Source organism: Homo sapiens, chromosome 2 (genome assembly GCF_000001405.40).
Source record: "Homo sapiens chromosome 2, GRCh38.p14 Primary Assembly".
Lineage (NCBI taxonomy): Eukaryota > Metazoa > Chordata > Mammalia > Primates > Hominidae > Homo > Homo sapiens.
In genome coordinates this window covers 45,518,700-45,546,522 of record NC_000002.12, presented here as the reverse complement: position 1 = coordinate 45,546,522, position 27,823 = coordinate 45,518,700, and the positions used below count along the sequence as shown (strand labels likewise).

Sequence of the window (27,823 nt, the reverse complement as noted above, 5' to 3'; positions counted from 1 at the left end):
CAGAAACCTCTTACAGAAGCAGCACGTTAGGGCTCAGTTTCATTGGATTTTCTAGGCTATACATTGTGTGAGGGTTCTAGTTAACTATTGAATAATAAGTAGAATGATGTACCAGGCTAGCAGCTAGTAGACTGTGAATAACTTAGCCTTTTTCTCCCAAAGCTTTGAAGCCTATGAATCATTACCCTTCAGAACTGAGAGCCAAGGTAAGTATTATGAATTAAAAAGTATTTCCAGTATTCTTTCCTCATTTATCCCTTGGTCACAAACTTTTATTTCATATAGGCATACAGATAACTTGTGAATAGCTTTGGATTAGAAAGACCCAATTTCTCTAGTCTTGCCCCTGCATTTGTAGTAGTTCTGCTTTCTTTCACCATTGTTTCCCTACTTCCTCTTTGGATCTCAATAGTCATGTCTTCCTTTTCCAAACTATAGTAGAATATTAAGTCCTAAAGGATTTAATTCTAGGAGAGAGAGTAGTTATAATGGCTGATATTTAACAGAAAGTGATCAAGAGCTATCTCCCACTGCTAGTGAGAAAACTAATAACTAAAAGAATGGTTGACTGATGAGCAGGTGACTGACAGGATCAACAAAGTAACAGAAAGTAAAACCTAACACAGGAAGAATTCTAGGATTTGTGTAGGTAGGCCAAAAGGTAAAGGCCAGGCAGTTATTATAGTCAAGAGTGCCAAGAGTGTAGTCAGAGTCAGTCAGAAAAACAAACTCAGGGTAACAAGGGGAGTAAGAGAAGGTGAGGAACAAACCGATAGGTGCCATGGGATCATGATTCAAGAAGGAAACAGATTGAAACATCCACTGCAGAATTTTTCCCTCTTTCTCTGGTTGTAATTTAAGTTGGCCTGGGAAATACGGTGGATCTTCCCTATTCTGGGAACTGCAAACGTGCACCCAGTCCTTTTGAGAAACTAACACAAGCACTGATGTAGCTGGTTCAGTTTATTTCAGGTACCTTCTCTGATTTTTTTTTAACTTGTTCACATTAATTTCATGTAAATATCTTGCATACATTTGTAGTGGTTATAAGTACAACTTTCAAATCATAAAAAATATTAAGTAGTGAAGATGTCTTCAGTTTTTTCTTCATTTGCTTATAGAATATCCCTTTATTGAACTTTAGGCAGTATGTACTATTAGAAAGGAAAGGATGAACTGTGGGGTCAGACAAATCTGGGTTCATCTGTTTTTTTTTTTTTTTTTTTTTTTTTTTTTTTTAATTGAGACAGAGTCTCGCTCTGTCACCCAGGCTGGAGTGCAGTGGCACAATCTTGGCTCACTGCAAGCTCTGTGTCCCAGGTTCATGCCACTCTCCTGCCTCAGCCTCCCGAGTAGCTGGAACTGCAGGCACCCGCCACCACACCCGGCTAATTTTTTGTATTTTTAGTAGAGATGGAGTTTCACCGTGTTAGCCAGGATGATCTTGATCTCTTAACCTCGTGATCCGCCTGCCTCAGCCTCCCAAAGTGCTGCGATTACAGGCATGAGCCACCGCGCCCGGCCTCATCTTTTGTTTTAATCATTTACTAGTTATGTAGGTTTTGAAGAGTTACTTAGCCTTTCTTAGCTTCACTTTCCTTCATTTTTAAAATGGGGAAAAGAATACCTACCTTACAGGTTTTTTAACAGTATTAAAAGTGAGATAACATAAATTAAAACACTAAGGGTTTAATAAACAATATGTTTTTTTATGAGTGTGTTTGTATTTGTTTATATACGTACTTTTATTATAAATATAAATTATATGTCTTTAAAAGTGCTGTGAAATTAGATGCAGTATTTTCTTATGCAAATTAATAAACTTACATAAAGTTTATTTTCACCTTGATGCAATAGGGATGATAGTAAAATCTACCACTTTGGATAGTAATAATGTCTATCGTACTTGTGTAAAATCTATGTATTGTGGTATCATGAGATGTTCAGTCTTATTAATGGATATGAATTAGATGCCATTTTAGTTGAGCCTCACCATAGGTGCTGTGGTATGAAGTGAAGTATGTGGGCTATAGAGACGACCTAGGTTCAGGCCTGCCACCTACTGCCTCTGATTAGCCATATAGTTTTAATCCTCTTTTAGCTTTAGCATCTTCATCTTTGGAAATGTTACTTACCTGTTAGCACCATTGACCACTGTGAAGATTTAAAATGGAATGTGTTATGTATCTCCTATTTTTAAGGCTATTTGTAGTAAATATGTTAAGTGTGGGCTAATCTTTGAGTTTAGGGAGACCCCATTAATATAAATTTTTTTTTTTTTTTTTTTTTTGAGCCGGAGTCTTGCTTTGTTACCCAGGCGGGAGTGCAGTGGCGCGATCTTGGTTCATTGCAAGCTCCACCTCCCAGGTTCATGCCATTCTCCTGCCTCAACCTCCCGAGTAGCTGGGACTACAGGTGCCCGCCACCATGCCTGGCTAATTTTTTTATAGTTTTTAGTAGAGATGGGTTTTCACCGTATTAGCCAGGATCTTTGGTGCCTTCTTTGCACTTTTATGAATATAGTCTCTATTAGGCATTTTCTTTCAGAAGAGCCCCATTTTGTTGCAATTTAAGACTTGCTTTGGATGGTAGTCTTTCTCCTATAGTCTGTTTTCTCCTTTCTGCTATAATTATTTGGGTTTTAAAATCTACCCGTGTGGTTAATTATGGTAGCTATTTTCTACAGTTGAACCATTTTTGCAGTTCTGATTTAACTCTACTTACACTGTATTAGTCTTTTAATGTACTTTTTGCATTTGTTTGCTAATATGTGCTTTTGAAGTTTTTAAATGATGCAGATATCTAATTGGAATTTATAGCAAGTGCTTTAGAAAAATCAGCTGTTTAATTTCATTTTATTATCATTTTGCCAATTCAAAGTGCCTGTTTGAGAAAACCATGTTTTCTCATCTTACACTTTGAAGTTACACTGAAATTGAAATCTCCAGTCTTTCTCTGGCAGCCATTTTTAATACCTTCTGAACAGATAATCTGATAGGTTAATCTATAATCTTGTCAGCCACTCATCCTGAAAAACCTTTTCCAGCCATATCTACCAGCACATTTCCTCTTATCTGTTCCTTCCAACACTCTTTGCCCTGACATGCTGCCATAGGTTAACAAATGCCATGATATATATCCTAATTCATAAACCCCAGGAAACCTGACCCATTCATCTGTCTTTTCTCTCATTCATTTCTCTCCCTACCCTTAAAATACCTTACGAATCATGATACTTACACATATTAGGGGGCAAGTCATCCAAAGGTGCAAATTCTAATTACCAAAGGAGCAAAAAGTTAAACTGGAGTTAAGTTGCAGAATGTAACCATGCTGAGTCTCAGTTATCACATACTGAATTGTGATAGTTGAAGTTGAAATGTTCATGAAAAAATGAAAGTTGAAAATGTTCGTGAAAAATTCTACAGTTTTATGGGTCATTTGTTTAAAGTATATGCTAGAATGGTTTGCAGTTTTCAATCTTTTGACATATGGTAGGCACTCATTTTGCTTTTGTAGTTATACATTAGTTTGTGTTTTTTAGATTTATACATAATGAAATCATACAGTGTATAATCTTTTATTGGCTTCTTTCATGGAGCATGATTATTTTGAGATTTCATCCTTGTTGCTGCAGAAACCAGTGGTTCTTTTTATTCCTGAACAGTATTCATTGTTTGGCTGTATCACAATTAGTTTATTCAATCACCTGTTGATGGATATTCGAGTTGTTGCTAGTTTTTTGCTACTACCAATAAAGCAGCATGAGCATTCATTTACAAGTCTGTATGGATATATGCTGTCATTTCTCTTAGGTAAATAGCTAGGTGTGGAAAGTCTGTGTTGTGTGGTATATGGTATACGGTACATGTTTAACTTAAGAAACTGTCAAGCTTTTTCCCAAGATGGTTGTACCATCTTACTTTCCCACCAACAATGTATCAGAATTCTAGTGGTGGCAGTGGCAGCCCATCTGGAGCAGCTGCTGGGAAGACACTGGCTGCAGCAGGGGAGTTGTGGCTTGGGTTGCATGCTCCACAGGTGATGGGAGCCCCACCTCCTACCAGGTTAGTGGGGCAGAGGAGCCCCATGCTCCTGGGCGCAGTTGCAGCTGCCCAGCTACAGCTCTGGACCTGGGCATCCCTGCACTCTCAGGGGCCTGCGATGCCCCTTCCCCTGCAGGCTCGGAAGTACCTGCTCCACCTCCCTGGCCTCTCCCTGCTCCCAGCACCCGCTCCAGAACAGAGCAAAGTTGTGGCCGAGCCTAGGCACTGTTGCGACCTGGACAGGTGTGCCTGCACTCGAGGCAGTGCTGACACCAGCCCCTGCTGCCTCAGCCTGTTCAGGATTTTGGGCACCAACCAACACAGGAGTGAGGCTGGGGTGGGGTGATGGCTAAGGGCAGCTTGGCACAGGCCTACAGGTGTCCCCTGGCACAAACAGCCCATGCACCATGGATGCATGCTGATGGTGGGAGGCAGACATTCCTGTGCAGCAAGGGGCAGGTCTCAGTGAAACCCCCACCTCCAAGCCAGGGCCTACGTGAAGTCTGGAGGCCAGGTTGCCAGTTCTGGGTGGAGTCTGTGGCCGGGAGTGTGAACTTATGGTACTTTTTCCAGACATGCCCATGGCTGCCCATGGACCAATCAGCATGCATTCCTCCCTTCTGAGCCCATAAAAACCCTGGACTCAGCCAGACTGACACAAATGTTGGGACTACCAGCTATGGGAAGGAGCCACCCACTTTGGGTCTGCTCTCTGCTGAGAGCTGGACACTTGTCAGGAGACCTGTCTGCAGAATGGGGCTACCCACTGCCCATCTCCTCTCCACTGGGAGCTGGACACTCATTGGGATAACCTGCCTGCAGAAAGGGGCTACCCACTGTGGGTCTCCTCTCTGCTGAGAGCTAGACACTCATTGGGACAACCTGCCTGCGGAAAGGAGCTGCCCGCTTTGGGTCTTCTGAGAGCTGTTCTGTCACTCAGTGAAGTTCCTCTCTGCCTTGCTCACCCTCCAGTTGTCCACATACCTCATTCTTCTTGGACATGGGACAAGAACTCTGGTTCCACCAAATGGTGGATCTGAAACAGCTGTAACACAAACAGGGCTGAAACATGCCCTCCTGCCTGCCATGCTGCAGACCTTGAGAAGGAGAAAAGAGCTGCAGCCCTTTGGGGAGCCCAGACCTAGGTGCTCCCTAAGCCAGGGCTATGGCACCCTCTTTGGGACTCTCTGGTTCCTGGCATCTCCCACCTTCCAGGAACCACTGTGTTCCCCTCGTCCAGATGTGGGTGTCTGCAGTGGTAGTTGCATGTGATATATCTGGTCCAGCCACAGCCTTGCATGGCACCACCTGCCCTGCCACAGCTGGCACGCCTAGCTCTGCACAGTGGCCGGACCCTGTGCTCACTCACACACCGCTCACCGCACTACGCCTGGCTCACCCTTGGCAGGGTGAGATCTGGGCCAGTAGCACCAGCCAAGCACAGCCTGCCAGCTTGAGTGAGTGGAACGAGCCCAGGGGGCCTGAGCAAAACTCGGACAAAGGCACCACTGGCCACAGAGGTGTCTGGCTGGAAAAGTGACACCCTAAGGATTCCGTAACACTAGTTTCTCTGTATCCTCAATGGAATTATGAAGTTATGGTCAGTGCTTGGTATGGTCAGCCTTTTAAATTTAGCTGCCCTAGTGGATATGTAGTGATATCTCATTGTGGTTTTAATCTGCATTTTCCTAGTGATTAATGATCATGAGCATCTTCATTTGCTTATTTGCCATCCATGTATCTTCTTTAGTGAGGTATCTGTTCAAATCTTTGCATTTAAAAAAATGGATTGTTTTCCTTGTGATTATTGAATAAGAGTATTTTTATTTATTCTGAATTAAGCCCTTTGTCAGGTATATGTTTCATAAACATTTTTTCCCAGTCTGTGACTTTTCACTTTTTTTTAAACAGGATCTTTTGAATGGCAAAAATTTTAGTTTTGAGAAAGTCCAATTTATCAATTTTTTGGTATAGTTTTTGCTTTTTGTTTTCTATTCTGGAAATTTTGGCAAAATCAAGGTTACTGTGATTTTCTTCTGTTTTGTACTAGAAGTTTTATAGTTTTAACTCATTAAGTCTGTAATTTAATTTTTGGAGAATTGACATCCACTCATTTAATTTTTTTTTTTTTTTTTTAAGATGGACTCTCTCTCTGTCGCCCAGGCTGGAGTGCAGCAGCACAATCTCAGCTCACTGCAGCCTCTGCCTCCTGGGTTCAAGTGATTCTCCTGCCTCAGCCTCCTGAGTAGCTGGGATTACAGGCGCCTGCCACCATGCCCAGCTAATTTTTGTATTTTTAGTAGAGACAGGGTTTCACTGTGTTGGTCAGGCTGGTCTTGAACTCCTGACCTCATGATCCGCCTGCCATGGCCTCCCAAAGTGCTGGGGTTACAGGCGTGAGCCACCATGCCTGGCCCATTCAATTTTTAATTTCAGTTTTATTTTTCATCTAGAAGTTCTGTGTTTTTCAAATCTGCTTGATGATTCTGTCACTTTTTTCCTGGCTATATTTTCAAGCCTGTCTTTTTTTAAACCATGTTAAATTTTGCATTTTACAATCTGTGTAATAATTCTAGAATCCTTGTAATTTTATTTCTGCTATATGCTGTAATTGCTGGTTCTGCTTTGTGATGCTTTCTTTCCTTTTTTGTTCAGTTCTTAAGGTAAGCTTTTTATTTTGGTGGAACTTTGTGGGAATTCATTTAGGCCTGGACTGATGGTAAGTTGCTTCAAAGAGGATTTGCATTTGCTTCTGCTACACTCCCTTAGATACTACCAGTTTGGGATCACTTAAATTAAATTCTCGGCTTGAGTTTTTTTCTGACCACCCAGGTAGTGTGAATTTAGGCTGCAGACCAGACAGATGGCTTATAGTTCCATATTCTCATCAGTAGTTCCCCGCTACATCAGCCCGTGACTGAGTTTGAGATAGTCCATTTTCATTGTGATCTCCTGGGGGTAGAGTATAGTGAGTTATAGTTCTGTTTTATTCTTACACTGAGGGTTTAACCTAACTCTGGAGTCCTAGCTTTACATATGTGAGAGTAGGTGGGGGATCTTTTGTTAACATCTATATCTTAGGTGGATCCTGGGTTTTCTATTTTATTCTTCTGGTTCTGTGAAGCTCTGTGAGGCCATGAAACTTGAAAATAAAATGCACTTGGTTCAGCAGATGCCCTCAGCTGAAAGTCAGCTTCAGAAATCAAGGTTCCCACATATACTTCATTTTTTTTTTTTAGCAAAAAAATTTCTTTCTTGCCAACTCATAGATCTCTTTAAGAAGATAGGTCTTTTAGTTGTTTTCAGTGAAAGATGAATCCAGGTAGCTCATTTCTCATATTGGTTTTGTATTTTAAATTTTCTTTAAATGTAAAATTTGCTATTTTCCGACACCAAAGTAAGACCATAAAAAAAAATAGATAATGATCTTTTCAATCATCTAAATTTACACTTGAGTTAAGAATTACTTGTTTCTTTTAGTTCTTTCCTCAGGATATCTATGCCTGTGGAAACATGTACATGATATAGCCTTCATTCTCTGGCAATTTAATATTCTTTTTTTTTAAAGGATGCTTAAGAGGGAGATCTTGAGAAGTCCAGAAAAATACCCAGAGGAAAATAAAAATTATTGGTACTGTCATTACTCAGAGAATCATATTAATGTTTTTATATATTTTCTTGTAGTTATTTTACTTATGCATTCATTTATTCAACAAATATTTATCACCTATAAATGTCAGATTGAATGAGATAGACTCAGTAAGGTACAAGAAGAGAACAACTTTTTCTTTACTACCTCCTCTCTTTATTCAACTCATGTTTGGATGAACTCATGTTCGTTCCTGGCTGAAATAATGGACAGGTCTCATAGCCTTTTCAGTCCCTCTTAGTTATTAGCATAGTCTCATTTCAGCAGTTGAAATATCTTCTGTAGTGCAATAATCAGAGATCCAAACTTGAGATAAGTTCAATTAAATGTCAGGCCTCTTTCACTCTGGAAGATGCTACTTCACTATCGGGATTTGCAGGTTAGTTTATCGGGATATGTAGTTAGTGTCCTCTCTCTTTTCCTCTTTGTTATTCTTATTTTCCCTAACTCACTAGCTGAATTTTCTGATCCCTCTAAGTTTAGTCCTCAGAGTGGAGTAGCATGGGAAAAAAGAGCATGGTCTTAGGAAGTGGGACCAGTTGCATTCTGGGGTAAGGCCCTCTGGGTGGCCCAAATACAATTGCTGATGCTTCCTTTCATGGGGTGTTATGAAGAATTTTTCTATTTTTGTTTTCTGAGATTTCCCTTGCAAGGAAGCTGTGATGTAGCTGATATCTTCTTTGGTTGACTGGTTATGGCTTTCCTTCTCTCGCCCTGGGCTTCAGACCAGCCATTCTCATCTGCGTTACTTCGCTGCTCAGTCCTCTTGGACAGAATCTGTTGAAAGCCTACCATACACTTCTTCCTGCAGGCCCATTTGGCTCATACCTCCTTGCCTGCTCTCCAATGGGTATCAACAGCTTATCCTTAGCACAGCTGTCTCCCTTTTAAATTTTCTCTCTCATACCTTAGGCTTGCACCTATTCTCTTTCTTACCCATCCTTGCCTTCCTCTTGTACTTTTCTGTGCTGTCAGAGGTAGCTCTTCCTTTTCATTTTTCTAAGGCATGTTTAGCACTCCATACTCTGGGAGCATATGTGAAGCTCATGAAGTGTTCCCAGTAAAGCGCCTTCCACTTGGCATGTGATGGATGAGATATTCTTCTATGTGAAATGTTGAGAGAGCAGGAAAAATGGCATAGCATCCCAATCATCTTCCCAAAGAAATTTTTTCTCTCAAGTCTAACTCTTGTCCCTCCCCCCAAAACACACCCATTTTATAGGACACAGATGAATGATTGCTATTGTTGGCAAAACAGGCCTTTGATGCTTTAGCTAGAACAAAAACATCCCATTACTCCTGTTTCGATCATCCAGTCAGCAGAGTATCCCTCAGAACCAAGACTATGTTACAGGCACAGTATTGTGTGCTGGGAAAGAAAGCAGTACAGGCAAAGTCCCTACCCCTCTTGAAGTTTGCATTCCAATGGAGAAGACAGACAAAAAGATAAGAGTGTGTGTATTTTTATATATGTCAGTTGGTGAAAAATTCTGTATCAAGAATTAAAAGCAAGGTAAGGCGATAGTGACAAGAAGTACAATTTTTAGGTAAGTATAGGTATAACCGATATTCTTGGTATATGAGACACATTTTAAGAAGACTCCAGTGCTGAAGTAAAGTGTGATGAATTTGTGTCCTCCTTTATCCATACTATCCAGATTCATGTTCTCTTTATCCTCATTTTTCTGTGTCGTATGAGCCTATGTTTTTCAGATTGTAACTTGTAACCCATTGGTGAAATGTGAAGTCCATTTAGTGCGTCTTAACCAGCATTTTTAAAAAGTTAAATAGAAAAGAATAGGAAATAGAGGGCATTTCATGCAGTAAGCTAAGTATTGTCTCATGAATATTTGTTTTGGTTACATGTATATATGTGTACTGGGTTGTGATGTGTTTCTTATGGTTGATCATAAAAGTTTGAGGAACATTGCTCTATGAAATTACAGTTTTCAGCCTTTAAAAATGCAAAGTTAAGAGAGAAGATTGGCCCGCAAGAGTCTTTACTGAGAAGTTAGAAAGCTTTTAGAAATAAAATTCAGACTACCTTATACAATTGCAAAAGATCCTCTGAAGGGAAGTAAATAGAGGAATGGTTCTGAGAACACATTGGGATATGTAAGCTGGACAAATGTACTCTTCCAGTAAAATAATGAGCCATGATCCTTACCATATTCCTTGGAAAAAAGTTAAATTAATGGATAGAATTTTCCCAATCTCAATTAAAATTCCTCATGTCAAAGAAAACTTTACAAATACTTTAGTTATTAACACATGATAAAACTTTATTATAATCTTATTTCAAGGCAAAAGGTTTTTAATAGGCCAATTCAGAGATGCACTCTTTGTAACAAAATTTTATGGAAAAGAGAACATAATTCCAGTAGAGAAAAACACAAATAAAAATGTTTGGGTGATTGGTTTGCTAGAACAAGTCTTCTACCTATTAGAGTATGTCAGAAAATTGCTTAAGTATTCTATCAAGTATGTTTTTTTCCCCTAGAAGAAAAAAAAGAAAGGAACCTTTCTTGTATGAATTATGTCATTCATACAAGAAAGTTTCTTTGCCAAACCAAGTTTGGAACAATTTATCTTACATTTATGTATTTTTCTTAATTTGTTGGTGTCTACTAGTAACTAGTATCTGATTTAGCTCTTATATGTTTAATTATATTATATAATATGCAAATATTCTGTTGTGTTCTCAGTAGAGCACATTGACTTCCAGGGGCTTTGCAACCAGAAAAAGATTAGGAACTAAAAGTAAATTAATTTGTATGTATTGACTGCATACTCCCTGCCAGGTGTGGATTTTACAAGGACATATACAAAGCTGAAAGAAGTGTAAGTAACCAAGAATGTGTGTAAGAGGGAAGTTACTGATCTGTTAAAAATAGTTCTGGAAGACCAAAATTTAAGAACTGAATCCCTCCTTTTCCTGCTTCCCCCCATGTATAGCATAAAAGTCTTTTAATGATTATCTTTGGGTAAAGAGAGTTAGAAAAGAAATCTCATTGCTTCTAGATAATATCATAATCCTAATCAGTGGATAAAAGAGTAGACTTGTTCAACTTCTCTTTTGATTTGTGAGATAGGATGATTTGGGGGGCTGAAAAGATGAATAAGTATCAATAAAAGAAAACTAAAACATAATTAAAATAAGATATTAAGAGATCTTCTGTTTCTTATTTTATCTTCTGGCCCAGATGAAACATTTTCTGGAGTTCTGGGTGGACTTGTACCTAAAATTTTGATACCACTATTGGTAATTGTTGAGAAATTGTGGAAGCTTGGAGATGAACTGATGTTATTTTGTTGTTCCAGAGGGAAAATAAAATAGGTTGTATAGATGACTGAGTGTAATCTTGGACAGGTAAGATTATTATTAAATTATAAAGGAATGGTTGATGAGCACTTAGGTAGGAAGGGACAGTAGAAAAATAACCACTGGACATCACCATGCGTTTCTTACAAATAAAACATTTTGGTCTTAACCTATTTCATTTTCTGTTAGGAAAATTAGACTGGTAGAAACATCTGGACCTCAGCACAGCTATTGATAGTCTCTTAATACCCTTATGGACAAAGTGGAGATTTGGTTATGTGGCTCCCAAAAAGATGTTGATTAGCTAATGTGTTGATGTCTGGTTTGAGGTCTCTAGTGTGCCACAAACATCCTATTAGTTAACATTTTAGTCAATAATTCAGTCAAGATTTGGAGACATGCTTTTCAAATTTGTGGACACTGAGGTGTGTTAGAATCAGAACCAAAAAAGTTTTTGAAAGACTTGAGTTTTTGGACCTAATCTAACAATATGAATTTTAATAAGGATACATTAATTTTGTGATGGTAGGGGGAATTTTTGGTAGAGATTTTTGGATGATTTCTCGGGTTTCTTTTTACTCTGTGGGTGACTTTATCAGAATAATGTGCAGCAGATCTCCCCTGTCCTGAACCACCTGGACCTTTTTCTTTTGCTTTGGTTTAAAGAAACTTACTTTCCAAAAAATCAGTAGACTTAGCTATATAACTTAAGATCTATTTAGCTATGTAAGTTCATAATGTTATGAAGTTAATACTGTTTTATATGGAGGAAAAGATGTGGTTGGTGTTATTAATTTCTCACTAGTGCAGTATTTTCCGTTTCACAAGTGGAATTTGAAATCAGGATTTTTGTATTTAAATATCCTGTCTCCTCTATATGCAGTTTTCTAGGAATGATAAAAACCATAAATCATCCTTGGAACTTGGGATAGCCTAAATTGTTTTCTGGATATTAAAACTAATATCCAGATTATCATGCCTAATGACAAGTTAAGGTGCTGTGTTATTTAAATTTCTCATTTCTTTCTACAGTGATGGCTTGAGATGATGTACTGTGACATTCTAGAATTTTGTTGCCTTTTCTTTATTGATATTCATCTCCATTTCGGTGACTATTATGAACACTGGGCTCTTGTTTATAGTGTTTCCTTTCTAGGATGTTTGTGATATAAGGTAAATTAAAAAATAAAACTATGTTTTACAGTCAATACAATTTATGTTCATTTTGTTGAAAGGCAGAATGTTTTTAAAAATACATATTTAAATAGACCATTTCAGTGAAGTATGTTGGGAAAGGAGACATAAGGAATGAATAATTTGGATGTGTGTGTATGTATATGTGTGTGTGGTTTTAAAATACTATTTGGATTTGAATTCAGTTTGACTGTTTTTGATCAAAATAAAATGTTTTACCAGTTTTGTAACCCATGTGTTTTTGTGTTCGTAAGTCCAATTTAAATATCTGCAGGAGTTACCCCACCCCCTCACTGTAGCCCCTCTTGCAGATCTTTGTTTATTGACTTAGATTAGAAATGGCCTAAAGCCCAGTGATGGTCATTTCTTGTTTTAAGATTTTTGGTTACAAATCTGCTTTTGTTGCCAGATCCAATAAAGATTCTTGATTGTTTTTGTTAGTTTTAAGTTCTTGCCAAAGATACAATGTATTATAACCAAAACAGATGTCCTGTTTAGACAAGTATATTTAGGCTCTAACAGAACCTAAAATGTAAATTAAACATGTTCAGCATTAATGTAGCAATTGATGAACTTTGGGATTGTATCAGTGTTTTTGATAACCTTTAGAAGTGGAGGAAACAATGCCTTACTTTTTCTCTGTCTAATCTGTTTGCGTATGTACAGTTTTACACTCCTAGATACTCCTCCAAACTGACATTTTACTGCCATTTTGAAAATAGAGTGGAATTCACCAATTTCCTGTATACAATTTTGTTCTTAAAGAGCATACATCAGATTAACAGTATTTTCTGTTAGAGAGTTCAGTTGAGTAGAAAAGGATAGTTTCTGAGACTTTAATGCTTGTAAATAGGTAGATGAAATAATTATATATAGACCCTCTTATTAATGGTGTTCTTGGTGAAGTTAGGAACCATATTAGGGTTGTAGTGTCCATCCTTTAGGACTTTTAGTAACCATCTCTGTAGATAGGGTCCAGTGCAGTCTTAATTTCTGCTGAATTCTGTGTTTTGGTGAACAACAGGTAATGTAGTGAATTCAAGATGAATGTATTTCTATTAAGCAGTGTTAGCTCTTTTTTTCCATCATAGTTTCTAGGGTAAATTAGATGTGTGAGGGATATATCAATTGCTACCACTGGAACCATTTTTACTTTAAGATTGTTGACTCTTTGGCCTATTCTTATCCATATTTTCCTCTTTTCTTTGGGATTAAACAGCTTACTGTTTTGCCTCACCTTTGGCCAACACGTTTTAAAAAATGTATTCAGTTTCTTATTGAGGGAATATCTAGGTTTTTTCTTAAACTGGGTTGTGAAGAATTATTTTGGTTCTCTCTCTGATTTTAGTTGCATTAGTTGAATTCAAAATTACTGAAATCCTTTGTTGAGATCCTTTTCTTTTGGTTATATAGAACTTGGAGATTCGGGGGCCAGAAATTGATAGTTGAAAACAGTAGTTCTTGAATTCACCTTATTTGTGTTTTATATATCTTTTGGCTGCAGTGGGGGGTCGGTAAACCTTTTGATTCTGTGTATTTTATGTGGCTAAATCTTTGTATTATGCTCTCCTAACTTAATGAAATACCTCTTTTAAGTTCCCCACATCCGTACATTTCTAAGGTTACGCCCAGTTTAATTCCCATTACTTTTCCGCTTCATAGCACTTGCATTTTGAAGGAACCCTAACATTTGGGTTCACATTATGATAATTAGGTTTCAAGGGCATGGGGGATTAAAGATATCTCAGGTCTAGTTGCAGAATAAAGTTCAGAAGCACTTTTAAAACTTGCCTGATTGGTGGGTAGAGGTGCTTTTATTTATTCTCTACTCATGCAGCATTAATCCCTATTTCATCAGGTACCTACAGTGCTGTAATTCTAGACGTGACCTTGGGTCTTGATTTACTTCAGCTCCGTCTTCTTTATAAATGTGCCATGAAAGAGGTACATGAAAGATAGCCAACATCAAAGCGCCTTTTAAAGTAAATTGGTTGATAGGAATTCCCTGGTATTTAACACTGTCTGTCAAATGTTTCAGCTGGTTTGCATCCTTTTACAAGCTATTGCTTGCTGCATGAAAAGAAATTTAAAGCAGTTGTTTTAAGTCTTGGGGAGGGTGGTTGTGATGGTGCTGATGGTGCTGATGGTGGTGATGGCAGCGGCATGGCAAAAGTTAGCCAGAGAAGAGAGTAAATGAGAAGTTAAGAACATGTTCTTTTTCAGCTGTGCCCCTCCCAAGATTGTTTTTGTGTTTTTCTTTGGGTTGGAGAGTCTTTAATACAGTGCTTATGATTAAGAGGAGGAGGCACTCATCTTGGTTATCAGAAGATTGAAGAGGGTGGCCAAAGAAAAGTCATCAAACTTTAGTGAAAGAAAGAATAACAGGCAGTGTCAGTATCTTATTCAGAGATTGTTCAACCAGTTTAACTTCCAGCCTGTTTATTCTTTATTGAGTCATATGAGAAGAAGCTGTAAAGTGGGAAACTGAGTCTGAAGAAAGAACAAAGGAAAAAGGACTCAGAGAAGGCTTGCCATATGTATTACGGAATATTTATTTTCCTGTAAACATGTTTTAGAGGCTGTTGTCTGTTCTAGGCTTAATATATGGGGTAGAACTTCTTACAGCTAAGTTTTGAAACCCTGGTTACTTCTTTGTTTCATAAATATTATTTGGCTGTTTCTCCCAACTTAAGAAAAAAATATTTAAAAGCATTTTATTTTTTGGATTATCACCATGATTGTCTTTGGATCTATTCCTATCGTCTTTACTGTAGAACTTTCTTAATCTGAATAGTGGAAAATAGAAATTATGGAATGTTATAGAAGATATTTACTTGCCTTCAAATATATACTTTATTTTCAGTTTACTGATGTAACCTTGACCTGTAGAGATCTTTAAAAATCTATTGTAATAAAAACTTTTTTGTAAATAGTATTTTTAATGTGCGTTTTTACGTATTGAAATGCTTTAAAGTCATATATTCTCTTGACATTCTGTAATATTGTTTTCACTTACCTGCTTATCTTTTTATTTATATACGGTGAGTATGGAAATAAATTTCAATCCAGACCTGGACTTGTCAGTTAGTTGAATTAAAGACTTTGGCCTGTAAAGGATAAGAAACCAACACAACAACTGACACAGAGGCGTTTGGTAGTGACCTTTTCTTTTCAAGGAAAGCAGATATTTGAGACAGACTGTAACCATCAGTATAGAATGAGCTACTGAGGTTTCTTGGGGTTTTATGAAGAGAGATAGCCTAGTATGTGTGTGTAGGGAGCAGTATACGCAAATTATTTGACAATTGATTCTGTGATGAAGAAAGTGGGTGGAGAGGTACATCTTGCCCATTTGTCTTTGTTTTGTTTTTGTTTTTGAGACAGGGTCTCACTGTGTTGCCCAGGCTGATCTCGAACTCTTAGGCTCAGCCTTTTGTGAGTATCTGGGATTATAGATGTGCTCCACCATGTCCAGCTTGCCCCTTTGTTGACATAGGCAAAGTAGAACATCTTACTGTCATTGCCATATACCATATATGGTTCAGCCCCTGTATTTGGAAGAGTGACCTCTGGGCTTTAGAGACTGATACTAGGAACTGGGTAGTAGAAAAAAGGTTGGAAGTGCTATACCTTTCTATTCATGCCACATTTCCTTTCAACCTCTGTCCTGCTCCCCTTCACAGTTAATAGCATCTTCTTTCATATATAGGATGTGTGTCTTTAATAATTTGATATGACCCATCATAGTCATAGACAGGAGACAGTGAAGCATGATATTGCTTAGAAAGTTAAGATCTTATTTTGTAAGCACTTTAACTTTCCTGAGGTGGACAGTTGTGGAGTCCTTTGATTGACTTTTGATTCATGCTGCTGCTGTTGCTTTTTTCTTTTTTAAATATTCTGAGGTTTTGTGTATCCTACGTAATTTAGGATCAGCATTGTTATAGCACATGAATTGGCCTTAGTGTTGTGTTGTCATTCAAATATATTAATTACAGGCTAGTCCAAAGCTTGATTAATAAGAGTCCACCTAGTCAAGGATCGTAAGATATTACTTAGTGATAAGCAACTTGAGCTTGCAAATGAGTCATCAGGTTAGCAGTTAATGGGTATATTTTTGACTGATTCTTCTGTTTACTCAATTAGTCCATTTACCTGAAATTCCCACTACCTTTTGAAGCATTTTTCTTTTTCCTTTCAACATAATGGTTTTCCTCAATCTAGGACTACATAAGAAGTTTGGTAGGCCACTCTTCTAATTCCTGGTTTGAATTTAGATAGTTCCATTGTTTAAACCATGCTGCTGCCATCATTGCCATTGTCATATTCTACTTCCTATTTTAAGTTATGTCCAGCAATATATTAGGAATATTTCTGGCTCAGAATTCAGATTTTGGTATCACCAAAAATTTGAGGGATACAGATGCAAAGAAGCCTTTGTACTGTCTTTCATAAGGAGAAATGCTTTGAGGAAGTCTTTCTATTCTTGTATGCTGTAATTTCTAGCATTTAATGATTTCCTTGTCTTCAAGGTTCTAGGCTTAATTTGAGTTAAAATTCACTGATTATACAAGAGGAACCCAGATACCTATTTTCTTTCTTCTCTTCTCTCCTATTTGGGGAATCCCTAACTCAACCCATTTGGGAGACTCTGTATCTGGTTGTAAATAGGAAATACTGCTTTTAGATGGTTTAGACTTTGGTGAGAAAAGTAATAATTAAAATTTCTACCATGAAATCAGATTTTTTTTCTATTTTAATAAAATTTTTATTGGGTGCAGAAAGACTGGAAGGGTGTTAGGGACCCCTGTTCAAATTTTCGGATTTTGGACTTGACATTTTTCTCATTCAAGGTTTTTGGTAGGGAAGTATAAGAAGTGGATAAAGAAAGCAGACCTAAGAATATGTCAGTAACATATTGGGCCTTTGAAATATCTTAGTTCTTTCAGGTTTGATTTGTTTCTACTCTTCATTTTTTTACTGCTTTTTCCCCATCTTCCTTCTGACTACATTTTCTTAGTGAGAAGTGACAGGTTTCTGCTTACTGGGAAAATGTAAAATGTATCTGTCTTATTGAATTTAATATCTTGGGGGATATTTGTCTCCAAAATCTAGTGCATGCACAGAATCCTTTTTTGTCATTATATAGAAGGGAAATACTTCTTTTAAAATCCTCTCTACAGTTAAGCCTGAGGTCTTACTATAGTACTGTTAATTATTGACATTTTCACTAACATATTCAGGAATGTTTTGGTTATATTGGATGATTCTTTCACTTTGACTATCAAAATTTATTTACTCATTCACACAACACATTTTTTGAGCACTTCTATCTGTACAGTGCTTGGCATGGTAGAGTCAAAGATTTGTAAAAGCATATCCACTGACCATTTTATGTTTAACCCAGCAGCCTCTTCTAAGCTGTAGCTTATCTAGATTCCTTTTCAGTTTCGTACACTGCTGTTTTTCTCTCCTGCTTTTGGTAATTGTACTTCTAAGCCTGTTAATCATTTTTTCTAGGCATTCTTGTACCTCTTCCCCACTCTTAAACTTAGACAACACTCCAGATATTTTCCTCACCCGCTTTGTCTTCTCTGTATATCTTCTTTTCCTTGATAATCTCTTCATCCACTTCTGGAGCTTCATCTTTTGCATCTTGTGGGTTCTAAGTCTACATAGTTTCAAGTTCTCACCAGAGACATGGACTCAGATTCAGTGGCTTATGCTAGTCTCTAGAGTACCCCTCTGGTACCTCAGTTTCAACCAAATTTAGCTTTTTGCTTTGGCTCCCAAACCTATTTTTTATGTGTTTTTTAAATTCTTTTATAAGTCCCTCCTTTACTGATGTTAATTCTCTTGGGCACAATGTTTGTACTCTTTGATTTCTTATTCTGTCATATACCCCATTCAAACTACCATGAAGTCCTGTTGATTCTGTCTCTGAAATGTGTCTCCTATTTCTTCCTTCCAGTTCTTCTTGTTTACCATTCTTCTTTTGAGATGTTAAGGCTTTCATGAGCTGGCCTCAACCTACTTTTCATGTATAGTCTCTTGATACTCGCTTCTTAACCCAACACATGGTGTTCATCATTCAAGCATTTATAATCTGGGTCTCCGTATTTATTTTTACATTATGCCATTGTGATGCCATTTATTAAGGAATCATACAGTTTAAAGAATTATGTAATCAACAGTTTATTCATTATAAGAATTAGCCCAGAGTTACAGTTACATCCTATATTTTATTAAATATATAAGCTAAAACAAATCCATTTTCAACATTGTTTTATTATTCAAAATTGCCTCAGCTAAATCTCTCCTGATCTGCTCCTATTATTTACAATGAAATTTTGGCTCCTGTTTTCAGTGGCTTCCATTTAAGTGCCCTTTCCTTTCATACCATGTATTCTCAGATAGCAATGATTCCTATAAACAAGGTAAGTTGGAATTTAGTTCTTTGAATGTGTTAGGTGGAAGTTTTCTACCCTTTTGTAGTTAAGAGCATAGGCTATGGAACCAGGTTCAAATTATAGCTTCATCCTTTACTACCATGGTGACTGTGCTTAAGTTACTTAATCTCCCTGTGTCTCTTCATCTCTGAAGTGGGGATAATAATAGTATCTACTTCGTAGGGTTTTCTTGAAGATTAAATTGAATAGTACATTGAAAAATACTTAGAATGGTGCTTGGCACATAGTATACAATCAGTAAATATTAGCAGTTATTTTTATTATAACTTCAAAATGTGTAATAATAATTATTATTTTTGCTCATCCTGTTTTCTTCCCTTGGTATACCCTTTCCTCATCCTCTGCCTATCAAAATCTTACCTATCCCTCAGGGCCTGACTCAGATACATTCTCCATGAGATTCTCTAATTTATCTCAGGTTAGAATTAATCTCACCCTCATCTGTGCTCTCCTAAAATTTTCTGTGTACTTCCATAACATTTAATATATAGCCGCCTTTGTACTGTACCGATTTATGTAACTTTTTTCGGAAATTCATTTATGACTGGGGTAGGAAGAATCATCATTGTTCATCCCTTTGGAAGATAGTTCACTGATTTGCCCATGTTGGCACTCAGAAATTTGAATTGATTTAAAACTTGCTGGCCCCCCTCCCCCACACATAATGTATGTGGAGAGTATGTATATATATTCATATTTATATGTAAGAACCTTCTGTGAATAAGGCACTCCCATAAGGACTATGGAAGATATAAAAAATAAAAGGTATGCTTTTCAGATTAAAGCTACATTTTAAAAAACATTTCTAAAAACTATGGAAACAACTTAAAATGATTAAATGATCTGTGTTCCCAGATCGCACTCAGCTTAAGACATGTAACGTTATCAGTACTTTTGAAGTCCCTGGCTGTCCCTTCTTTTTCACATCTCTTGTCTTCCCCTCCGTAGCTATTCATGCTCTTGAGTTTTGTGTTAATAATTCCATTGCTATTTTGCATGTTTCCTTTACATGAATCCTAATCTTCTATAACTTGATTTTTCTTCCTTAAGATTATTTTATATTCATTCATTTTGATATATTTAACTGTGATTCATTTTCAGTGGTGCATTACATAATTATACAATATTTTTCTATTTTTGAGTTGATTGACATTTGGATTTCTGATTTTTTTTATTGTTTTTGGAAGTCTTTATTCATTTATTTTGTTTAACAGTTTTACTGAGATATTCACACACCATATAATTTACCTATTTGAAGTATATAATTCAGCGATTTTTAATATATTCACAGATGTGCAGCTATCACTACTAATTTTAAAACTTTTTCATCTCAAAAACCTGTACACTTTAGCTCTCACTCCCTTCTCTCCCATCACCGCATTCTCACCTTCCCTACTCCAGCCCTAAGCAACCACTAATCTACTTTGTCTCTATAGATAGATTTCCCTGTCCTGAATATTTCTTATGAATGGAGTCATATTATGTGGTGTTTTGTAATTCACTTCTTTCCGTTAGCATGTTTTCGAGGTTCATTCATGTCATAGCATGTATCAGAACTTCATTCCTTTTTATGGCCGAATAATATTCCATTATATGGATATACAACATTTTGTTTATCCATTTATTAGTCGATTGACATTGAGTTATTTCCACTCTTTGGCTGTTATGAATAATGCTGCTGTAAACATTCGTGTACAAGTTTTGGTGTGGACATATGGGCTCATTTCTCTTAGGTATACACCTAAAAGTAGAAGTATTGTGGTAACTCTGTGATTGTTTGGGGAACTGCAGACTGTTTTCCAAAGTGGTGGCACTCTTCTGCATTCCCACCAGCAGTGTATGAGGGTTCTGATTTATCTACAACCTGCCATGGTTACCTGACTTTTTGGGTTTAACCATCTTAATGGGTATGAAGTAGTATATCATTGTGGTTTTTGATTTGGATTTTCCTGATGACTAATGATATTGAGCACTTCTTCATATGCTTATTGGCAATTTGTATGTATTTCTTGGATCAATGTCTATTCATATTCTTTGCTCATTTATTTTTAGAACCTAATAAAACACATGATAGTATGTTTAATTGGTGGTTTTAATTCTTTAAAAAATGTTAATATTTTCTTCAAATTGATAGTAAAAATCATAGGTATCATGTACAACATGATGTTTTGAAGTACATATACATTGTGTAATGACTAAATGGAGCTAATTAACGTCTATCTGCATTACCCCACATATTTTTATAGTAAGAACACTTTATATCCACTCTCAGCATTTTTTTAAGAATACAATATATTGTTATTAACTATAGTCACCATGTTGTACAGTAGATCGCTTAAACTTATTCTTCCTATAACTGAAACTGTTACTATTTTTTATTTAGATAATTTGTCTTTTCATTACTGAGTTGTAAGAGTTCTTTATAGTTCTGGATACAAGTCCCTTATCCAAGTGTATGATTTGCAGATATTTTATGCCATTCTGTAGGTTGTCGTTTTACATTTTTGTTGATTACATTTGAAGCACAAAAGTTTTAAATTTTGAAGTCCAACTTTTCTATTTTTTCCTTTGTTGTTCAGATTTTTGGTGCCATATGTAAGAACACTTTGCCAAATCCACCGTCATAAAGATGAGCTCCTATGTTTTCTTCTAAGAGTTTAATAGTTTTAGTGCCTACATCCATTTAGTTATTGACAGATTTTGAGTTAATTTTTGTACATGGTGTAAAGTAAGGGTTCAAATTCATTTTTTTTGCCTGTGGCTATCCAGTAGTCCTACCGACATTTGTTGAAAAGACTGTTCTTTACCCATTGAATGATCTTAGAACCCTGTCCTAATCAGTTGACCGTAGACATGTGTGTTTATTTGTAAACTCTCAGTCCTGTTTCATTGATCTATAAGTCTATCCTTGTGCCATAACCACACTGTCTTGATTTTTATTGTTTCATAGTCAGTTTTGAAATTGGAAAATATGAGTCTTCTACTTTGTTTTTTCTCAGATTGTTTTGGTTATTCAGCATCCCCTTCAATTCCACTTGAATTTTAGAATCAGCTTGTCAATTTCTCCAAAGAAATCAACTGGAAATCTGATGGCCTTTGCATTGAATGAGTAGATCAGTTTGGGGATTATTGTCCTTTTTACAATCTTAAGTCTTTAAATCCATAAGCATTTGATGTCTTTCCACTTATTTAGATCTTCCTTAATTTCTTTCAACAATGTTCTGTAGCTTTCAGAGTATAAGTTCGATACTTCTTTTGTTAACTTTATTCCTAAATATTTTGTTGTTCTTGATGCTGTTGTAAATGGAATTTTCTTATTTCATTTTTTTAATTGTTTCTTGCAAGGATGTAGAAATAGTCGGTTTTTATAATTGATATTTTATCTTGCAAACTTGTTGAACATGTTTATTAGTGCTAACAGTTTTTAGTGGATTTCTTAGGATTTTCTATATGCAAAATAATGTTATCTGTGAATAGAGATCATCTTCTTCCTTTCTACTATGGGTATTTGTCTTTTATTTCTTTTTCTTGCCTAATTACCATAGCTAGAAGCTTCAATGCAGTGTTGAATAGAAGTGGCAAGAGCAGACATTCTCATCTTGTTCCTGTTTTAGGGGAAACATCCAGTCTTTCATCATTAATTGTGTTGTTGACTGTGGGTTTTTCCTACATGCTTTTTACCTGATCAAGGAATTTCCCTTCTAATTCTAGTTTGTTGAGTATTTCTATCATGAAAAGATACTCCCTTCTGTCAAACTCCTTTTTTTGTTTCTGCGATCATATGAATTTTGTTTTTAATTTTGTTGACATGATTGTATGTACTGTATTAATTGATTTTTGGTTGTTGAATCAGTCTTGCATTTTTGGGATAAATCCCACTTGGTGATGGTGTTGTTGGATTTGGTTTGCTAGTATTTTGTTAAGAATTTTTGCATTCATATTCATAAGAGATATTATTTGGTATTTTTCCTGTGGTGTCTTTTTTTGATTTTGATATTAGGGTAATGTTGGCTTTTTAGAATGAATTAGGAAGTGTTCTCCCCTCCTGTTTTTTGGAAGAGTTTGTGAATTGATATTAATTCTTTTTTTAAATGTTTGGTAGAATTCAGTTTTAAAACCACCTGGATTGTGGGTATTTTTTTTTTAATTACAAATTCAGTATCCTTATTTGTTATTGGTCTATTCAGATTGTCTATTTCTTTTTGAGTCATTTTTGGTAGTTTGTGTCTTTCCAGTAATTTGTCAGTTGCATCTTTGTTATCTAATATATTGGCATACACAGTTGTTCTTATAATAATTTTTAATTCTCTAAGGTCAGTAATAATGTCCCCTGTTCATTTCTAGTTTTAGTAATTTAAGTCTTTCTTTCTTTCTTTTTCTTGGTCAGTCTAGCTAATGGTTTGTCAATTTTGTTAATATGTTCTAAGAACCAACTTTTGAGTTCAACTTTGGAGTTCATTTCTTTATTATTTTTCTCTTCTTTGTTTTATTAAGTTCTGCTGTAATCTTTATTACTTCCTTCCTTCTGCCTACTTTAGGTTTAGTTTGCTTTTTTTTTTTTTTTTTCCAGCGTTTTGGGTGGAAGGTTGGGTTATTGATTTAAGATGTTTCTTCTTTTTTTAATATGGGCATTTATAACTATAGTTCTTAGCTATATCCTTTAGTTTTATTTCTTAAGTTTTGGTATGTTGTGTTTTCATTTTTATTTATCTCAAAGTATATTTTCTAATGTCCTTTTTCATTTCTTTTTTGACTCATTAATTATTCTGTTTCATACACATGTTGAGTATCCTTTATATCACATGCTTGGGACCAGAAGTTTTTTTAAGATTTCAGATTTTAGAATACATCTGACCCTTGAACAATGTGGAGGTTGGGATGTTGACCCCCTCTGTGTAGTCAGAAATTTGTGTATAACTTTTGACTCCCTAAAACTAGTAATAGCTTACTGTTGACTGGAAGCATTATTGATAACATAAACAGTTGATTAACACATGTTCTGTATGTTATACGTCTTGTATTCGATATTGTTACAATAAAGTAAGCCAGAGAAAAGAAAATGTTAAGAAAATTGTAAGAAAGAGAAAATATACTTATTATTGATTGAGTGGAAGTGGATCATCATAAAGGTCTTCATCCTTATCATCTTTATTTGAGTAGGCTGAAGAGAAAAAGGAAGAGGAGGAGTTGGTCTTGGTATCTCAGGGATGGCAGAAATGGAGGAAAATTTTAGTATGATTCAAACCCATGTTGTTCAAGGGTCAACTGTATTTGCATTATATACTTAACAGTTGAGCATCCCTAATCCAAAATGCTCCAGTGAGCTTTCCTTTGAGTATCATGTTTGTGCTCAGATTTTGGGCCAGGCACCATGCATGGCTCATGCCCATAATCCCAGCACTTTGGAAGGCTGAGACAGGAGGATTGCTTGAGCCCAGGAGCTCTAGATTAGCTCTCGCAATATGGTAAACTCCATCTCTACTAAAAATAAAAAAATTAGCCTGGTGTGGTGGTGCATACCTGTAGTCCCAGCTACAGCTACTTGGGAGGCTGAGCTAGGAGGATCACTTGACCCTGGGAGGTCGAGGTTGCAGTGCATGCCACTGCTCTAGCCTGGGCAACAGAATGAGACCCTCTGTCAAAAAAAAAAAATTTCAGATTTTGGAGCATTTTTTTATTTTAGATTTTTGGATTTGGGATGCTCAATCTATACGATATTTTGTTTATCCATTTGTCTGTTGATGTACACTTGGGTGATTTTCACCTACTGGCTATTGTGTATAGTGCTGCTATGAACATTGGTATACATTATCTGTTTGAATCTCTGCTTTCTCCTTTTTTTTTTCTTCTTTCTTTCTTTCTTTCTTTTTTTGGGAGATAGGATGTTGCTCTGTCATCCAGGCTAGAGTGCAGTGGCATGATCATGGCTCACTACAGCCTCAATCTCCCAGGCTCAAGCGATCCTCCCAGCTGAGCCTCCTGAGTAGCTGGGACTAGAGGCACGTGCCACCATGCCTGGCTAATTTTTAAATTGTTTTGTGGAGACAGGGTTTCACCATGTTGCCCAGGCTAGTGTAGAACTCCTAAGCTCAAGTGATCCTCCCACTTTGGCCACCTAAAGTGCTGGGATTTGAATTCCTGCTTTCAATCCTTTTGGATATATACCTAGGAGTGTAATTGCTGGTAATATATATGTAGGAGTGTAAATATACAATCAAATTGTATATTTTGATTTTTGAGAACTATCAAATCTTGAGTTATCATAATGGCTGCACCATTTTATATTCCTACCAGCAATGCATGAGGGGTCCAGTTTCTTCACATCTTTGTCAGCACTTATTATTTTCTCTTTTTAAAATTATAGACATCTAGTAGGGGTGCAGTGATATCTCATTTTGGTTTTGACTTACATTTCCCTAGTGACTAAGATGTTGAACATCTTTTAATGTGCTTATTGGCTATTTGTATCTCTTAATTGGAGAAATGTCTATTCAACTCCTCTGCCTGTTTTCGAGTTTGGTTTGTGTGTGTGTGTGTGTGTGTGTGTGTGTGTGTTTTCCTTTTTGTTGTTGAGTTGTAGGAGTTCTTATATATTGTGGAACTGGCACTTTCCCCCTCTGTGTTTCTAGCTCCCTGCAGTCATTGGGTGTCATCTAGGTAGTGGATTTGGAACGGGAGACTTCCCTGACTCCCCTTGCAGGACGTGCGACAGGGGTGTGGCTTGTCTGTTTAGTTGCTGCCGCTGTTCAAACCTCTTATGGGAGGGGGAGCATGCGGACAGACAGTTGCAGGAGCCCAAGTGGACATATGTTACAGTGTGTTCTTTTAGCCTTGACGTCCATGGATGGCTTAAGTGTTAACCAGCTCAGAGGACCCTCTGCCTTTTTGCAAGGGCAGAGGGCCATTGCAATAGCTTTCTGTATCCCAAGCTGTTGTCCAACATCCTGGAAGAATTGGGTTACACATGGACTTGAAGAGTGTGAATGTGGGGGTTTTACTGAGTGGTGGAGGTGGCTTTCAGCCAGATGGATGGGAGCTGGACAAGGGGATATAGTGGGAAGATGATCTTCCCCTGGAGTTTGGCTGTACAGTGGCTGATTCTTCTCTCCGACCACCCCCAGCCAAACTCATCTTGGTGTTCAGATGCTCCTTCTCTCCTCTTTCTCTGCTGCGCCATTCTGCCATTTGCTTGTCTCTTCATCTGCTCCTGGAGCCTGGGGTTCAGGGTTTTTATGGGTTCAGGATAGGAAGGCATGGTGGGCCAAAAGGCAACTTTTTGGGCACGAAAACAAGAATGCCTGTATCTCACTAGGGCCATGGATATCCAGGTTTGAGGGTGGGGCCTTTGCCGGGGAACTGCCCTCTTCTCCCCCGTATTTCCCTGTCTCCTGTCTGTAGCAAATTCAGGGATCTTGTAACTGTCACCAGAAATGCCTAAAGCAAACAGCCTGTGGCAGTGTCAGCAGGTGCTAATCCATATTCTCACACTACTGCCTGGACTGGCCATGGGGCTTTGGAGGAGGGTCTCTTCTGGATCATCCTCACTAGAACCAGATTGATAGCTTTAGCATATGTGCTCCTGCAGACATGGGCTTGACTTGACCCAGTAACAGCACAAAAGTACCATTGAGGCCAGGTACCCTGCTGCTGTTTTTGTGCTGCTCATGCTGACAGCTTGTTGGACTCTATTTGGCTGACATCTGGAACATCTGTCTTTTTAAGTAGTATTATAATTGCCTGGGATGTAATTTTCTATTTTTTTACTTTTGTCCTGTTAGTGTCTCTTGCTTTAAATGTATTTTTTCTAAGGATAAAGAACTTGTACAGGGCAGTGGTTAAGATCATCACTTTTCTGTCTGATCTGCCTGAGTTTGAATCATAATTCCAATACTTATTAGCTTTTTGGTCTTGGTTTGGTTACTTAACCCTTCTGTGCCTTGTTTTCCTCATATGTAAAATGGGAATAATAATAAATAGTAACCTTATAAGGTTGTTGCAAGGATTAAATGAGTTAACATATGCGAGTACTTAGAAGAAGGCTCCATTACTGTATAGCAGAGACACATGCCACCTTCTCTGAAAGTCAACACATTTAACAAGCATCAAAGATTTCTTGAAACTAAAATTCCAGGAAAAATAAACAAAAATTTTTAAAAAATCACATAATGTATGTGCCTGAGTTAGAAGAAGGGACAAAATTTTCTTTTGAACCACCAAACACTGCAGTTGTCGGAATTACTGAGTAAAGAATATAATGTAAGAATGTTGAATATATTTAAGGAAATGAAAGAGTATGAATGGAATAATCACCTTTGGAGGACACAGGAGACACAATGAAAATCATGCTTAATCAAAGATACTCTTGTAAACTACTTAAGTGGCCAGCACCTGGGTCCTTGTAAGCGTTAACAGGCCAGATGAACTTTTTGTTTCTTTACTTTAGTTAAGGCTTTTGTTTCCCTGGACCAATGGCGGCCAAGGTTTAGTTTGAAATGTGTGGGTCTGAAGTGAGGTGGTAGTGAGGCCAGTGGGGTCCCCATGTTGTATAGTTTAGGACCCCTGAGTACAGGAGTATGATGAGGGTTATAAAGTTGTACTGTTTGTCTTTTCTGGGAATAACTGAAATTTTTACTTATCTATAAAAACTAAACATTTTGTTTTCTTTTTTAGTGCCCTCCTTCAGGAGCTATCTTGTTTAACCTTTGTAGAGCTATAAATATGATTTGATTAAAAAATTATAGCTTATAGTCACTCCTAGAATAGCTTTAAGTTTTGTTACAGCTTTTTGTCTTACCTACCAATTTTCTAGGCTTTCTCAATATACTTTGCTAGAAATTCTGCTAGAGAAAAATGGTGAGATTTTTTTTTTTTTTTTTTAGCCTTATTCGTTCTTAGGAGCTCACCCTGAGAAAGCTCAAATCTGTCATTTCTCTCTGGGAAAAATGAGATTTAAATAATTTTTTTTACTTGTACAAACCAAAACAGTACATGTTTTGGCAGTTTGTAAATTGTTGCCTCATTAACGTAAACAAAACAAGTCAAATTAGATATTTGTGTTTGAAGAGATTTATTTGCTGCAATACAGCTGTATCCTTTATATAGAAAATTTATAGGTTGTTATTTTATGATCTGTGCTTTTTCA

The 27,823-nt window shown here is 36.9% G+C and overlaps 1 protein-coding gene across 8 annotated transcripts in view; it reads left to right on the top strand.

The window, feature by feature from the left end:
- The window catches only part of SRBD1 (S1 RNA binding domain 1), a 222,588-nt gene that overhangs the window by 64,745 nt on the left and 130,020 nt on the right, over positions 1–27,823 (top strand). For 3 of the 8 annotated variants that reach the window (XM_011532946.3, XM_047444858.1, XM_047444857.1), the window contains exon 15: positions 163–206. The exons of the other annotated variants lie outside the window; for them this stretch is intronic. In XM_011532946.3, the coding sequence (XP_011531248.1) occupies positions 163–206 (44 nt within the window). The remainder of the gene's footprint in view (positions 1–162; positions 207–27,823) is intronic. 8 annotated transcript variants of the gene reach the window in all.